Below are 14,306 nucleotides of genomic sequence, written 5' to 3' on the forward strand. Positions count from 1 at the left end.
TTGTGAAACAGTTAAACACGTTGGGTGTGGTGCCGAGCTCCTTCCTAGGTTATCAAATCCAAGCTCTGCCATTTATTAATTGTGTCATTTTGAGGCAGGTATTTATATTCTTAGGGCCATGGTGTCTTCATCTGTAGAATAGGAATAATAGCACCTATTGCTAGTATTGCTATTAGGATTTTCAAAATAACACACATAATGCATTGGAGAAAGTGCCTGGCAAATTATAAGTATGTAATAAAACTTATCTCTCTTTTTACTCCTTATTTCTTATTACAGTGGTTTTGTTTTTCATTTCTTTTATTTTTTGGATAGTTAAACCTTATAAGGATTTAAAAGTTTCATGTGACCATTCAAATATCCCAATTTATCATTTAAACGTAAACAACAATGGTGCCAGAGTAGTCATGGGGCCCTCTCCAGCTTCATCCTACAGAGGAGCCCCACCTGGGCAACTGAAATAAGATTATAAGCTACTAGAAGAATAAAGAGGTCTTATTTCATTATTTAATTAAGCCGCTGAATAGTTTATTCTTCCTAAAGCAACATCACATATACCAATTAGGTTAGATACCCTTATTAACTAGCCAGGGAACCTTCTCTCTTGAAAAACATCAACAAGAAGTTTTTGTTGTTATTTTTGTCATTCTTGTTTGGTTCAAGAAATATAATTAAATAAATTTATTCCAGAAATTTTAAATTTCAGTTAAAAATTTTTAATTTGATGTTATATCAGAGTTATGAAAATCATGGCTAACTATAATATGGCCTGAGAAAATCCACTTATTTCAAAAGGGAATAAACAGACTAAAAAACAATAAGAAAACAAAAAGCAGATGAGTGTGAAAATTACAAGATAAACTCAGAATACACCTGGTCAAAGCAAACATTACACTGGGCAAAGTTACATAGGCAAGAGAGGCTTTATTCAAAACTATTGTAACAGAAGAGAGAGGCTGTAACTCAGCCTGAGCTCAACTCCACTGAAACAAAGGGATGAAGAGTTTTTAAGAGCTGGGATGGGAGAATCTGTGTAGGCCATTTGTGCTTGCTAATTGGCTTTACCCACAGATGAAGTAAATTTTCTCCTATCTTCATGACAGGAGGTAGTTTTACAACTTAGAGCAAGGCTCTTTGAAGTTAGGCTCCCACCCACACTCAGGTGTAGACTGTATCCCTTTAATGCTTTTATTTCAAAGTGATGGCTCCTGGGTGCTTAAGGAAAACATTCCAGGGTTTTAAAACTGACAAGAAGCTTTAAAAAAAGGTTTACATCTCAATCGGGCAAAGAAAGAGTTTCAATTACTTGTTTTCTAAAGTAAATGCTTTAAGAAAGGGAAGTTAGGGACCTAGAGTCAGGAGGAAGCCTGTATAAAGTTTAGTCCAGCTGAGGGAACTGCTAAGGCCATCTTGGTCTCGGTGAACACTTGGTTTTCACATAGTTTTAATCACGGAACTAGTATGTGGCCTGGACACACTTGGAAAGAAGCCAACACCAGAGGGATTGCTGATATACTGTGAATATCTAATTCCTACATTTATGATAATGAGGTGGAATGAAATAAAGAGGAGACAGTGTGAAATTGGAAAGTATGTAGTTTGATGTTACTTGCAAGTATACTGTGAGGCCCAATTTATGACACTGGGCTGCATAGAGCTTTTTCTGAAAGTCCATCTAGCTAAACCCTGTCCTTTAACCATATGGGCCAAATGACTTTTGCTTTATTTTATTTTAGGGAATTTTCTTTATTTGTAACATTCCTTTCAGCTCTTTTTAGATTCTAATATTCCAGAATGTCTTTTTTCCAGTGTAGGTTCTTGGCATCTTTGTCCAACATTTCATAGTAGGTGTATAAATTTGTTTTTGGTTTCTGAATTCTATTCCATTGATCTGTTTGTCCACTTGAATGCCAGTACCAGGCCATTTTGGTTACTATAGCTCTGTAGTATAATTTAAAGTCAGGTGATTCCTCCAATTTTGTTATCTTGCTCAGGATAGCTCTGGCTATTCTGGGTATTTTTGTGGTTCCATACAAATGTTAAGATATTTTTCTATTTCTGTAAAGAATGCCATTGATGTTTTGATAAGAATTGCATTGAATCTGTAGATTGCTTTGGGTAGTATGGACATTTTAACAATATTGATTCTTCCAATCCATAAAAATTGAATACTTTCCATTTTATGGTGTCCTATTCAATTTCTTTCGTGTTTTATACTTTTCATTATAGAGATCTTTCATTTCCTTAAGATTGATCATTGTTGGCATATAGAAATGGTACTAATTTTTAATGTTGATTTTGTTTCCTGCAACTTTACATAATTTATCAGTTCTAATAGTTTTTTTGTGTGCAGTCTTTAGGTTTTTCCAAATATAAGATCATACTATCTGAAAACAAGGATAATTTGACTTCTTCCATTCCAATTTGAATGCCGTTTATCTCTTTCTTTTGTCTGATTGTTTTATCTAGGACTTCCATTACTACATTAAATAATAGTGGTGAAAATGAGCAACTTCGTCATGTTACAGATCTCAGAGGAAAGGCTTTCAGTTTTTCCCCATTCAATATGATGCTAGCTGTGGGTTTGTCATATATGGCTTTCATTATGCTGAGATATGTTCCTTCTATCCCCAGTTTTTGAGAGTTTTTATCATAAAAGGAATGCTGAATTGTATCAGATAATTTTTCAGCATCAGTTGAAATGATTATACGGTTTTGGCCTTCATTCTGTTGATATGATGTATCACATTGATTTGCATATGTTGAATCATCCCTGCATCTCAGGGATAAATCCCCCTTAGTCATGGTGAATTATTTTTTTTTTGGTTTGCTATTATTCAGGATTTTTGCATCAATTTTTATGAGTGATATTGGCCTGTAGTTTTATTTTTTTCATGTGTCTTTGTCTGGTTTTGGAATCAGGGTAATACTGGCATGATACAGTGATTTTGGAACTATTTCTCTCTTCCTCTATTTTTTAGAATAGTTTGAGTAGGACTGCTACTAGTTCTTCATTACATATTTGGTAGAATTCAGCAGTGAAGCCATCAAGTCCCGGGCTTTTTTTACTGGGAGACTTTTTATTATGCTTCAGTTTCATTACTTGTTACTAGTCTGTTCAGGTTTTGAATTTATTTGTGGTTCAATCTCAGTAGGTTGTATGTGTCTGGGAATTTGTCCATTTTTTTCCCTAGATTTTTCCAATTTATTGACATATAGTTGCTCATAGTAGCCACTGATAATCCTTTGAATTTCTGTGGTATTAGTTATAATGTCTCCTTTTTCATCCTGATTTTATTTATTTGCATCTTCTCTCTTTTTCTGTAGTCTGGCTAAAAGTTTGCCAATTTTGTTTAACTTTTCAAAAAACCAACTTTTTATTTCATTGGTCTTTTGTATTGTTTTCTTCATTTCAATCTTATTTATTTCTGCTTTGATTTTTACCATTGATTTTCTACTACTAATCTTGTGTTTGGTTTGTTCCTGCTTTTCCAGTTCTTTAAGATGCATTGTTAGGTTGTTTATTTGAAGTTTTTCTTATTTTTTGATGTAGGCACTTATAGCTATGAACTTTCCTCTTAGTACTGCTTTTGTCATATACCATAGGTTTTGGTATGTTGTGTTTCCATCATCATTTGCTTCAGAAAAATTCCAATTTTCTTAATTTTTTTATTGACCCACTGGTTATTCAGGAGCATATTGTTTAACCATGCATTTGTATAGTTTCCAAAATTGCTCTTGTCATTAATTTCTAGTTTTATTCCATTGTGGTTAGAAAAGATGCTGGATATTATTTCAATTTTTTTAATGTTGTGAGCCTTGTTTTGTGACCTAACATATGGTCAATCCTTGAGAATTATTCATGGTCTGAAAAAAAGAATGTACATTCTGTAGCCGTTGGATGAAATGTTCTGTAAATATTTATTAGATCCATTTGGTCTATAGTATATATTAAGTCTGATGTTCCTTTGTTGATTTTCTCTCTGAAAGATCTGTCCAATTCTGAACGTGGGGTGTTGAAATCTCCAGCTGTTATTGTACTGGGGACTACCTCTCTCTTTAGCTCTAATAATATTTGCTTTATATATCTGGGTGCTCCAATGTTGGGTGCATATATATTTAAAATTGTTATATCCTCTTGCTGAATTGACCCCTTTATCATTATAGAATGACCTTTGTTTCTTATAGTTTTAATCTTGAAATCTATGTTGTCTGGTATAAGAATCGTAACTCCTACTTTTGTTTTGGTTTCCAGTGGCGTGGAATATCTTTTTCCATCCCTTCATTTTCAGTCTACATGTGTCTTTATAGGTGAAATGTGGCAACAGATCATTGGGTCCTCTTTTTTCATCCATTCAGCCACTTCTTTTCATTGGAGAGTTTAGTACATTTATATTCAATGTTATTATTGGTAAGTAAAGACTTACTCCTGCCATTTTGTTCTTTCTTTTTTGTTGTTGTTTTGTGGTCTTCTCTTCCTTGTTTCCTTCCTGTCTTCCTTTTAGTGAGGGTGATTTTCTCTGATTATATAATTTAGTTTCTTGTTTTTTATTTTCTGTGTATCTGTTGTGTGTTTTTTTACTTCTGGTTATAATGAGACTTGCAAATACTATCTTATAGCCCATTATTTTAAGCTGATAACAACTTAACATCATTTGCATAAACAAGCAAGCAAAAGGAAAACTAATAAAAGCTCTACACCCTAATTTCGTCCCCTGGTTTTTAACTATTTGTTGTTTCTATTTATATCACACTGTACCATATGTCTTCAAAAGTAGTTGTAGTTATTATTTTTGATTGGTTTATCATTTAGTCTTTCTAGTTAAGATAAAAGTAGTTTATACATCATGGTTACCATGTTATATTCTATTTTTCTGTGTACTTACTAGTGAGTTTTGTACCTCTTGGTGATTTCTTATTGCTCATTAACATTCTTTTCTTTCTGATTGAAGAACTCCCTTTAGCATTTCTTGCAGGACAGATCTGGTATTGATGAAATCCCTCAGCTTTTGTTTGTCTGGGAAAAATCTTTATTTCTTCTTCACGTTCGAAGGATATTTTCACCAGATATACCATTCTAGAGTGAAGGTTTTTTCCTTTAGCACTTCAAATATGTCATACGACTCTCTTCTGGCCTGTAAGTTTTCCAATAAAATGTCTGCTCTCAAAGGTATTGGAGCTCCGTTGCATGTTATTTGTTTCTTTTCTCTTGCTGCTTTTAGGATCCTTTCTTTATCCTTGAGCTTTTGGAGTTTGATTATTAAAAGCCTTGAAGTAGTCTTCTTTAGGTTAAATCTGCTTGTTGTTCGATAATCTTCTTGTACTTGGATATTAATATCTTTCTTTAGGCTTGGAAATTTTTCTTTTATTGTGTCTTTGAATAAACCCTCTACCCCTGTCTATTTCTCTACCTTGTATTTAAGGCCAATAAGTCTTAGATTTGCCCTTTTGAGGCTACTTTCTAGATTCTATATGCATGCTTTATTCTTTTTGTTTTCTTTTGTCTCCTCCGTGTATTTTCAAACAGCCTGTTTTTAAGCTCATTCTTTCTTCTGCTTGATCAATTCAGCTATTAAAGGACTCTGATGCATTCTTCAGTATGTCAGTTGCATTTTTCAGCTCCAGAATTTCTGCTTAACTTTTTAATTATCTCAATCTTGTTGTTAAATTTATCTGATAGAATTCTGAATTCCTTCTCTGTGTTATCTTGAATTTCTTTGAGTTTCCTCAAAACGGCTATTTGTGAATTATCTGTCTGAAAGGTCACATATCTCTGTTTCTCCAGGGTTGGTTCCTGATTCCTTGTTTAGTTCATTTGGTGAGGTCATCTTTTTCTGGATTGTCTTGATACCTGTAGATGTTCATTTGTGTCTGGGCATTGAGGAATTAGGTATTTATTGTAGTTTTTGCAGTATTGGCTTGTTTGTACCCGTCCTTCTTGGGAAGGCTTTCCAGGTATTTGAAATTACTTGGGTGCTGTGATCTAAGCTGTTCCTTATTTAGGGAGCACCCCAGTAACACTATGGTTCTTGCAGACTCATACAGATTCATCTTGATCGTCTTAAAGAAGACCTGGGCGAATTCTCTGGATTATCAGATGGACACTCTTGTTCTCTTCCCTTACTTTCTTCCAACCAAATGTAGTCTCTTTCTCTCTCTCTCTCTCTCTCTCTCTCTCTCTCTCTCTCCCTCCCTCCCTCCCTCCCTCCCTCCCTCCGTCTCTCTCTGTTCTGAGCCACGTGGAGCTGGGAGTGGAATGACGTAAGCACCCCTATGGCAACCACCACTAGGTGGACCTGAAGCCAGCACAGCACTGGGTCCTACGCAGCATCTGTTGTAATCACTCTCTGGCTACTGCCTATGTTTCCTCAAGGCCCTGGGACTCAGCAGGGGGCAAAACCATCTAGGACTGTGTCCTTCACTTCAGGGTTGCAAGTTCCCCTAGGCCCTGGGTGGGTTCAGATGTGCTGTCTGTGAGCCAGGGACTAGAGTCAACAAACTTAAATGTCTACTTTGTCCTCTTTTGTCCTGCAGCTGAGCTGGCACTCAAACCACAAGATACAGTCCTTCCCACTCTTCTCTCCCCTTTCCAAAGGCAAAGGAGCCTCAGCTCATGGCCACTGCCACTACAGGTCCTCAGTGAATACTTCCAGCCTACCAAAAATGTTCCATTGAGGTCCAAGGACTCTTAAGTCAGCTTGTGGTGAATGCTGCCTGGTTTGGGACTCATCCTTCAGGGAAGTGGGCTCCCCTCTGACCCTGGAAATGTTTAGAAATTTCATCCAGGAGCCAAGTGCTGGAATTAGGGACTCCAAGAGCCCATTTTGTGCCCTACTCTCCTGTGGCTGAGCTGGTACCTAAGATGCAAGATGAAATCCCCTTTGCTTTTCCCTCTGCCTTTCTTAAGCAGAAGTCTCACCCCATAGCCATCATAGCTGGAAAAGTGCTGAGTCTCACCTGAAGCCAGCAAGTGTGAATCTCACCCAAGGCCCTCAGTGTAGTACCAGGTATTGCTGCTGGTTATTTGAGCCCAAGGACACTTCAGTTACCAGGGTGAATAAATCCTGTCAGGACTGGGTCATTTCCTTCGAATGAGAAGGTTGCTCTCTGGCCCAGGGTATGTCTAGAAATGTTATCTTGCAGGTAGGGCCTGGAAAGGGGGCCTCATGACTCTGACTGCTGCCCTATCCTGCTATAGAAGAGCTGCTATCCAAGAGGCAAAACGAAATCTTCTCCAGTCTTCTGTCTCCTGTCCTCAAGCAGAGAAAAGGGGTCTCTTTTGGAGCAGTTAGTTGTACAGCCTGGAATTAGGGGAGAGGTGGTGCAAGCACTCCTTTAGCCACCCTGGATAGCATCTCAGGAGGTTGTGTGCCCCACCCTCACCCCCAGTCAGCTGGGTTTGGGCCCAGTTCAGCACTAGGACTTAGGAGTTGCGGTCTTCATGGCCTATACTGCCTTTCAAGATTATTTAGGGCCGGGCCTCAGGGCACTTTAGCCAGCAGTAGTGAGGCTTGTGGGAACTCAAGCACTGACCACTGGGATCAGTGATTCCCCTCTGGCTAATGCTGGTTTAAATGGTCCCTCCATGGGTGGGTGTCAGCGGAGTTTGATCTGGTTTTCCTTTCTGCTATAACAGGACACCACTGAGTCCAATGACTGAAATTGCTGCACGCTGTCTCTCTCCTCAGCACATGGAAATGCTCTCCTCACCCATGCTGCCACTGCCTGCAGGTGGTGGAGGGGTGTCGTCATGGCAATTAGTGGCAATAGTCCTGAATAGGCAAGTAAGGACTATTTTTTTTTCTCCTTCTGAGTGACTCTTTCAATAATAGGAAGTTAAAATCCAGCACTGCGAGTGTTCATTTGGTTTTTGGTCCTTAGGAAAGTGCTTCTCTCTGTAGATAGTTGTTAAATCGGTGTCCTAGTAGGGGGATGATCGGTAGAGGCTTCTTGCTCTGCCCTCTAATTTGTAACATTTTTTTAGCTCTTTTTAGATTCTAGCATTCCAGCATATGGCAACATTTTAAGCATTAAATTTCTGTATAGGCCTTCCAGACATGGGTAAGTGTGTGTAGAGATATGTTTGTGACTTTATGTTTCCTTTAATATGCAATTTCACATTTACCAATCCTAAAACATTAAAAAGAGCATAATCCAAATACAGTGTTCAAATAAACACTGCAGTTATTTGTTAGCAAAGCAACTGGCTGTGATTCTATTTCAGGAAGATTATCTCCTCCAAGACGTAGAAATTTGCCAGCTACATTTGTTTGCTACTGATTCCTGAGTTTGGTTTGCTTTCATTCTTCTTTGGATCTCAGTCTCCTATGCACCATTCACATTTTCTATTCCCAGTAAAAAGGTTTTTGTATGGTCTTGGTTTTGTTCCTATCAGTCACTTAAAAGAACAGACACCCAAAGGCAAGGGCATTAATCATCTGTTTGAAGGTCCCTGGGAAATTATTATTTATATGTTGATAGTGAATCTATTTTACCCTTTAAGGGGCAAAATTGCTAGATTAGGAACATGGTTAGGAAAACATAGCAGTCATTAACCTTATCGCTTTTCCAACAAAGAAAAACTGTGTAACAACTGGCCAAAGCCCGTGGCAATTTGAGAACACAAGAGATCAACAAAATGAAGCCCAAGATGAGATAAAACAAGTTGCCAGCCTTTTGGCATAGGTTTAAAATAATTTTCTGTAAACACCTATCCTCAAAAATGGAAATCAGTGAAAATATTTCATAAAATGGCTAGAGAATTCTAAAGCTTACATTATATTCTTTAGTATTTTATATAAGAAAAATTTTGTTTGCTTTAGAAATTTCATAACGTATTTCTTTTAGTCTAATTAAATTTTCTTTTTTTTTTTTTTTTTACTAGCATCATTCCCCTTAGTCACTAAGAGTGAAATTAAAACCACTAAATTTTATTTTTTTAGGTTGTTGGAATTACAGGTTCTCTGAAGGGGTTGCTCTGCATAGATTATTGACAATAAATATGTTCCAAAAAACTCCATGCCAATGAGATGAGAGGAATTATTGGGCAAGAGCCAAAGAGGAACCAGGGAGATAGCAAGTGCAGGAGGAAAGCACAGGTATGGAAAGTGAGTGAAAGTAAAGGATGATGTATTAGTCCGTTATCACACTGCTATAAAGAACTACTTGAGACTGGGTAATTTATGAAGAGGTTTAATTGACTCACAGTTCCACAGGCTGTACAGGAAGCATAGCTGGGAGGCCTCAGGAAACTTATAATCATGGTGGAAGGGTAAAAGGGAAACAAGCACGTCTTCACATGGTGGAAGGAGAGAGAAAGAGTGAAGGGGGATGTGCTACATGCTTTCAAACAACCAGATCTCTTGAGAACTCTATCAGGGGAACAGCAAGAGAAGAATCCGCCCCCATGATCCAATCACCTCCCACCACATCCCTCCCCCAACTATGGGATTAAAATTCAACATGAGATTTGGGCAAGGACACAAAGTCAAACCATATCAGATGACTAGCCGAATGTTAACCTGATCTGTCCTCTCAGCAGGGACAGGTGCCCTCCTGCTTTATGGATGATTTAAAGTTATTATAACAGATGGTGGTGCTTCCTTTCATCTTTTACTTTGGAATTTTAGCATTAATTTAAAAAATATTTCCTATGAAACAGTGAGACAATAATGCTAGAACATTCTAGTGGTTCATAAAGAGCCTTTACAGGTAGGATTCACTTGGTTAGGGCGCCACATTACAGATTTGATCCCAAAATTGTGGATCTAGAAATTTTATTTTCACATGGTATTTTATGTGGGTTAGACATATTAGAATACCCTGCCTCAGTTTCCTTGTTGGTTGTTGTGGACAAAAATAAATGTACTTAGCACTGTTTTGAGGATAAAGGTGTTAGAACACTGCTTGACACAAAGTACTTAACAAATGTTAGTTGTCATTCTTAGTTTTATTAACATTCTCAACAGGCATATGCTGATTTATTAGCTTATGAAAAATACATTTAAGTGGGTCCAGAATTATTTTATTCTCCTTTCAGAATACTCTGTTCATGATACCAAAATAACTGAGAAGCTGCATTAGTCTATCTATGTTTCTTTCCTTCTTTCTCTCTTTTTCTTCTTTCTTTCTCTTTCTTCTTTCTTTTTGGAGACGGGGTCTTGCTCTGTCACTCAGGCTAGAGTGCAGTGGCATGAACATGGCTCAGGGTAGCCTTGACTTCGTGGGCTCAAGTGATCATCCTGGCTCAGCCTCCTCATTAATTTTAAGATGATTCTACTATGGAGAAAATTTAAAGAGTGATCAAAGGTTCTGAGTGGTTGTAGGAGATGTTTTATTTGGGATCTGAAGACTCTGATAAATCGCCTACCACCCTACACCTGCATACCATCACAGAACAGTCCACAAGATGTCAGTTGCACAAGGATCAGGGCAAGACACACTTGCTCTTTGTTTCTTTCTTTTTTTTTTTTTTTTTTAACCTGTGAGTCTCTGTATGTCTCTCTCTTGCTGTTGCTCTCACTGTCGGCCTCCTCTCTCCTCCCCCCACCCCTCACTAACTTTTGAGCTATCATGTTTTGTTTCCTAGATTCCAAGGTGGCACTCTTCCTTCCTAACATCCTTTTTAATTCCACTTATGCCATTGCTTATGTTAAGGTTTCCTGCAAATGAAATGAATCGAAATGAAATAGGATCAATTTCTTCTTGCTTTTAGCTGGGAGAGTCCTTAAGTGTATCACTGAAAGTGGTTGCTGGTTTGAAACAATATTTTTGGGTTATCTGGGGCCATAAGTAATGACATTTGATTTGTCCACATCATCAATAATGGAGTTAGTAGTAGACTGAGGTTCAAGAAGTTGAAGACCTGAGACCCATATCCAAGTTTTCCACTGTTTACAACCACGACTGCGAGAGGACCTAACTGTTGTATCTTCCTTACAATTAGAAGAGACACAACTTTTCCCAAGAACACCACCTCAAGAGACTGTTTACATTATTGAATTAGACTAAGCTTTAACATACAGTGAGTATTCAGTTAAATTATTTCTCTTCACATCAGCTGGTAGGGACTTATGGTGAGTACAAAATCAGCTATGGGCAAAGTTTAAAATGTTATATTTTCTCTGGACATTAATTATAATAGAAGATACATCTTATGCTTTCCACATAAAGAAGTAGCATGTTAGGTTAAAAGAATTTTAGGGTGTCTGATAAGAAAATCAAGGTCAGTGTGACTAAAGAAGAGTTAAAGAGAGGACTAGGATGGTTTATGGATGAAGAGATGGCAGAGGCTGCATTTCACAAAGCCTTGCAGACTATGGTAATATTTTCCATTTTATTCCAAGTGCATTAGAATGCCAAGAAAAGGCATTAAAGAAGGAAAGTAGTACAATCAGATTTTTATTTTTTTTAATTACTATGACTTCTATATGAAGAAGAGATTCAGAAGAGACAGATTCAGCTGTGAACTAGATAAGGGGCGCTTATTTCAACCATGATGGAGCTAGTAGATGCACACAAGTGGACAGATTTCAGAAAGTTTTAGAGAATGCATGCGTAAATAGCTTCCACCTGCATGCTCTTGTGTACATGCTCTACATGTGAATATATAGATCTACTTACATATACATATGTATGTTTGTATATAGATATGTATTTGTTTAGGAACATACTTAGAAAAGAAGATAGAAAAACACACCAAAATATTTACAGTGACTTCAATATTTAAGGTTATAGTATTTGGGGTTATGTTTACTTGCTGGTTTGTTTTGAGATGGAGTCTCCCTCTGTCACCCAGGCTGGAGTGCGGTGGCACAATCGTGGCTCACTGCAACCTCCGCCTCCTGGGTTCAAGCAATTCTCCTGTCTCAGCCTCCCCAAGTAGCTAGGACTACAGGCGCGCGCCACCAAGCCCAGCTAATTTTTTCTGTAATTTTAGTAGAGACGAGGTTTCAACATGTTGGCCAGGCTGGCCTCAAACTCTGGACCTCACGTGATCTGCCTGCCTTGGGCTCCCAAAGTGCTGGGATTACAGGCATGAGCCACTGCACCCAGCCTATTTGGGGTAATTTTTGCTGCCTTCTTTACAATTTTTCTTTTCTTAATATTCTACAATGAATATATGTAAATAAATATATATAGTATATATAGTATATGTACACACTTGTGTTAATGAGGCATTATGGAAATTAAATTATAAATATGGCTAGTATCAAGAAAGTCCTAATTCAAGTTTCATTACAAAAATTGTTTCCCACTACTCAAATATGATAAAGCACTTTTAACATAAACAATTTTTATAGGCAAATTATTGTGTTGGAGGCCCTCTCAATTGGTTCATGATCATGCATAGCTCCTAAAATATAAGAAGGTAACAATTTATAATACAATGGATTTCAATCGATGCCCTTTGCCATTAAATCACACTAGAATTCAATGACACAACTGATTAACAATTAAATTAATGGTGGTGACCTTGCAAATGAAAAGTGATATATAGTATTTATATTTTCCTCATCTTCCCTCTGTTTCTGAAAATGTAAAAATATTCTTTTAATGTTTGTAGTTTTTAATCTTAAAAACACAATGTTGAAGAGGAATTATCTGGAGAGTGCTAGATTAGAGTCAATTAAGATTTCCAAATTAAATTTTTAAATTTATAACTAGAGAGATTTTTAAAATGTTAGCAGTATTTTTTCCCCAGATTATCTATCTGCATAAGATTCTAGAGAATTCTGAGACATTCTTCTTGCTTTAGAGTTGGGTGCTACATAAACATTAATCAGTGCTAAGTAAAAACAAACCAAATATGTGTGTGTGTGTATATATATATATATATATATGCACCCCCATTGTTTAGTATCAGTAAATTTTACTAGAAATACTGAACAAGTATATGGCAAGCAATTGACAAAAATATTGGTTCCTGATCTCCTTTTAAATAGTATCTATGATGCTAAATAAAAAGTGTTCTAATAATAGAGGAAATATTTTCATATTTTAGGTCATATACATATACACAACATAATAGGGACGGGGAGAGGCATCATGAAATAACTCAAGGTAGTATACTATCTGAAAATTTATACTTATGAAAATTTATGTTATAAAAATAAAGTTAAATTGCTTTTTTAAAATTGCTTTAGGGTTTAGCTCTCTGTCTACATAGTTGGCAACCTTGGGTGACTTATTTTATTGTAATCTATTGTTATGTTAATTTCCCCTATTGCTACTTGTATAATTTTTATATACATAAGGCCTCAATAAATAAACTCTTTGAATAAAAAAGAACCCTAAGCATCTTTTTGCAAATAGTTCTAAATCATGAAAACACTAATATTTTATAATGCTCTAAGAAGCTAATGAACCAGAAATATCTTTAACCAAAGGCACTTTTCCTTTGGTTTTCACAAAGCAGAGAATCCTAATGGACAGGCAAGATAAATCATTTACTGTGTAAAACACTCATATACCTATTGAAAGGGTAACCACATCAAATGTTCTCTGGCTATTTAAATTACCTACAAAAAGAAATCTTAGCAAAGTGCAAAATGTGATAGACATTTGCAGTCTATCTGTAACTAGCCCAATTCCTTCAAAGAGAAATGTGAACATAAAATGCAAAAGCATGACTGAGGAGTCATTTCATGCATTCCTTGATTCCTCAGAATGGCTACAAGCAACGTTCTCATCTAGTGTGGGGCCTCACTATGCAAATCTGCCAAGGTTATCCCCGTGGGCAACCTACAACCAACGTGTCTTTGCCTTGGGCTCAGTGAGTTGACTATAATGGTTATCCTGGCAAGACGGAGCTGATCCTCTCTCAGAAGTAGACGATAAGATATTATCCAGCTAAAAGTTAAAAGTGGAAGACAGCTTACACTTCAAGGACTGGAGAAATCAAATTCAGTAATGCCATTTCTCAGAGGAAGTCTCAGATTAAGGACATAGACAATAAAGCTTTATATAAGGAAAATATTTGTTTAAGGTTGAAAAGGCTAAGATATAAACATCCAGTCAGTTTGATTTAAGGTGGAAAAAAAAGAATCTAATTCTTAGAATGGAGCTAGGGATATCAGTGGAAACTCTTCTTCCCTACACAAGTGACTTGACATGTTTCTTGTTTTTGATTCTAAAGTTGTTTTAGAAATTCAGATGTGAAAATACAAACATTCTCTGCTTTTTTCTCCCTTGTAGCTTTGATTCCTCAATATTCAATTTGTCAGCCAATCACATTAACTCTATGTCCAATTGATTTCCCATATGCCTGCTTTATTTTCTGTGGTTACCACTTCGGGACATCCTTC

The 14,306-nt window shown here is 36.8% G+C and overlaps 1 protein-coding gene across 2 annotated transcripts in view, besides 1 other annotated feature; it reads left to right on the forward strand.

Annotated features, from left to right (window-relative positions):
- CNTNAP2 (contactin associated protein 2) overlaps nucleotides 1-14,306 on the forward strand; it is a 2,304,198-nt gene that overhangs the window by 1,318,863 nt on the left and 971,029 nt on the right. The window lies entirely within an intron of this gene.
- Nucleotides 810-1,556: an enhancer, noted in NCBI's record as "OCT4-NANOG hESC enhancer chr7:147133565-147134311 (GRCh37/hg19 assembly coordinates)". NCBI's record gives its function as "activates a minimal SCP1, AML or CMV promoter by ChIP-STARR-seq in naive and primed H9 embryonic stem cells {active_cell/tissue: H9 hESC(naive and primed)}" and the evidence as "EXISTENCE:reporter gene assay evidence [ECO:0000049][PMID:30033119]".

Source organism: Homo sapiens, chromosome 7 (genome assembly GCF_000001405.40).
Source record: "Homo sapiens chromosome 7, GRCh38.p14 Primary Assembly".
NCBI classification, from domain to species: Eukaryota; Metazoa; Chordata; class Mammalia; order Primates; family Hominidae; genus Homo; species Homo sapiens.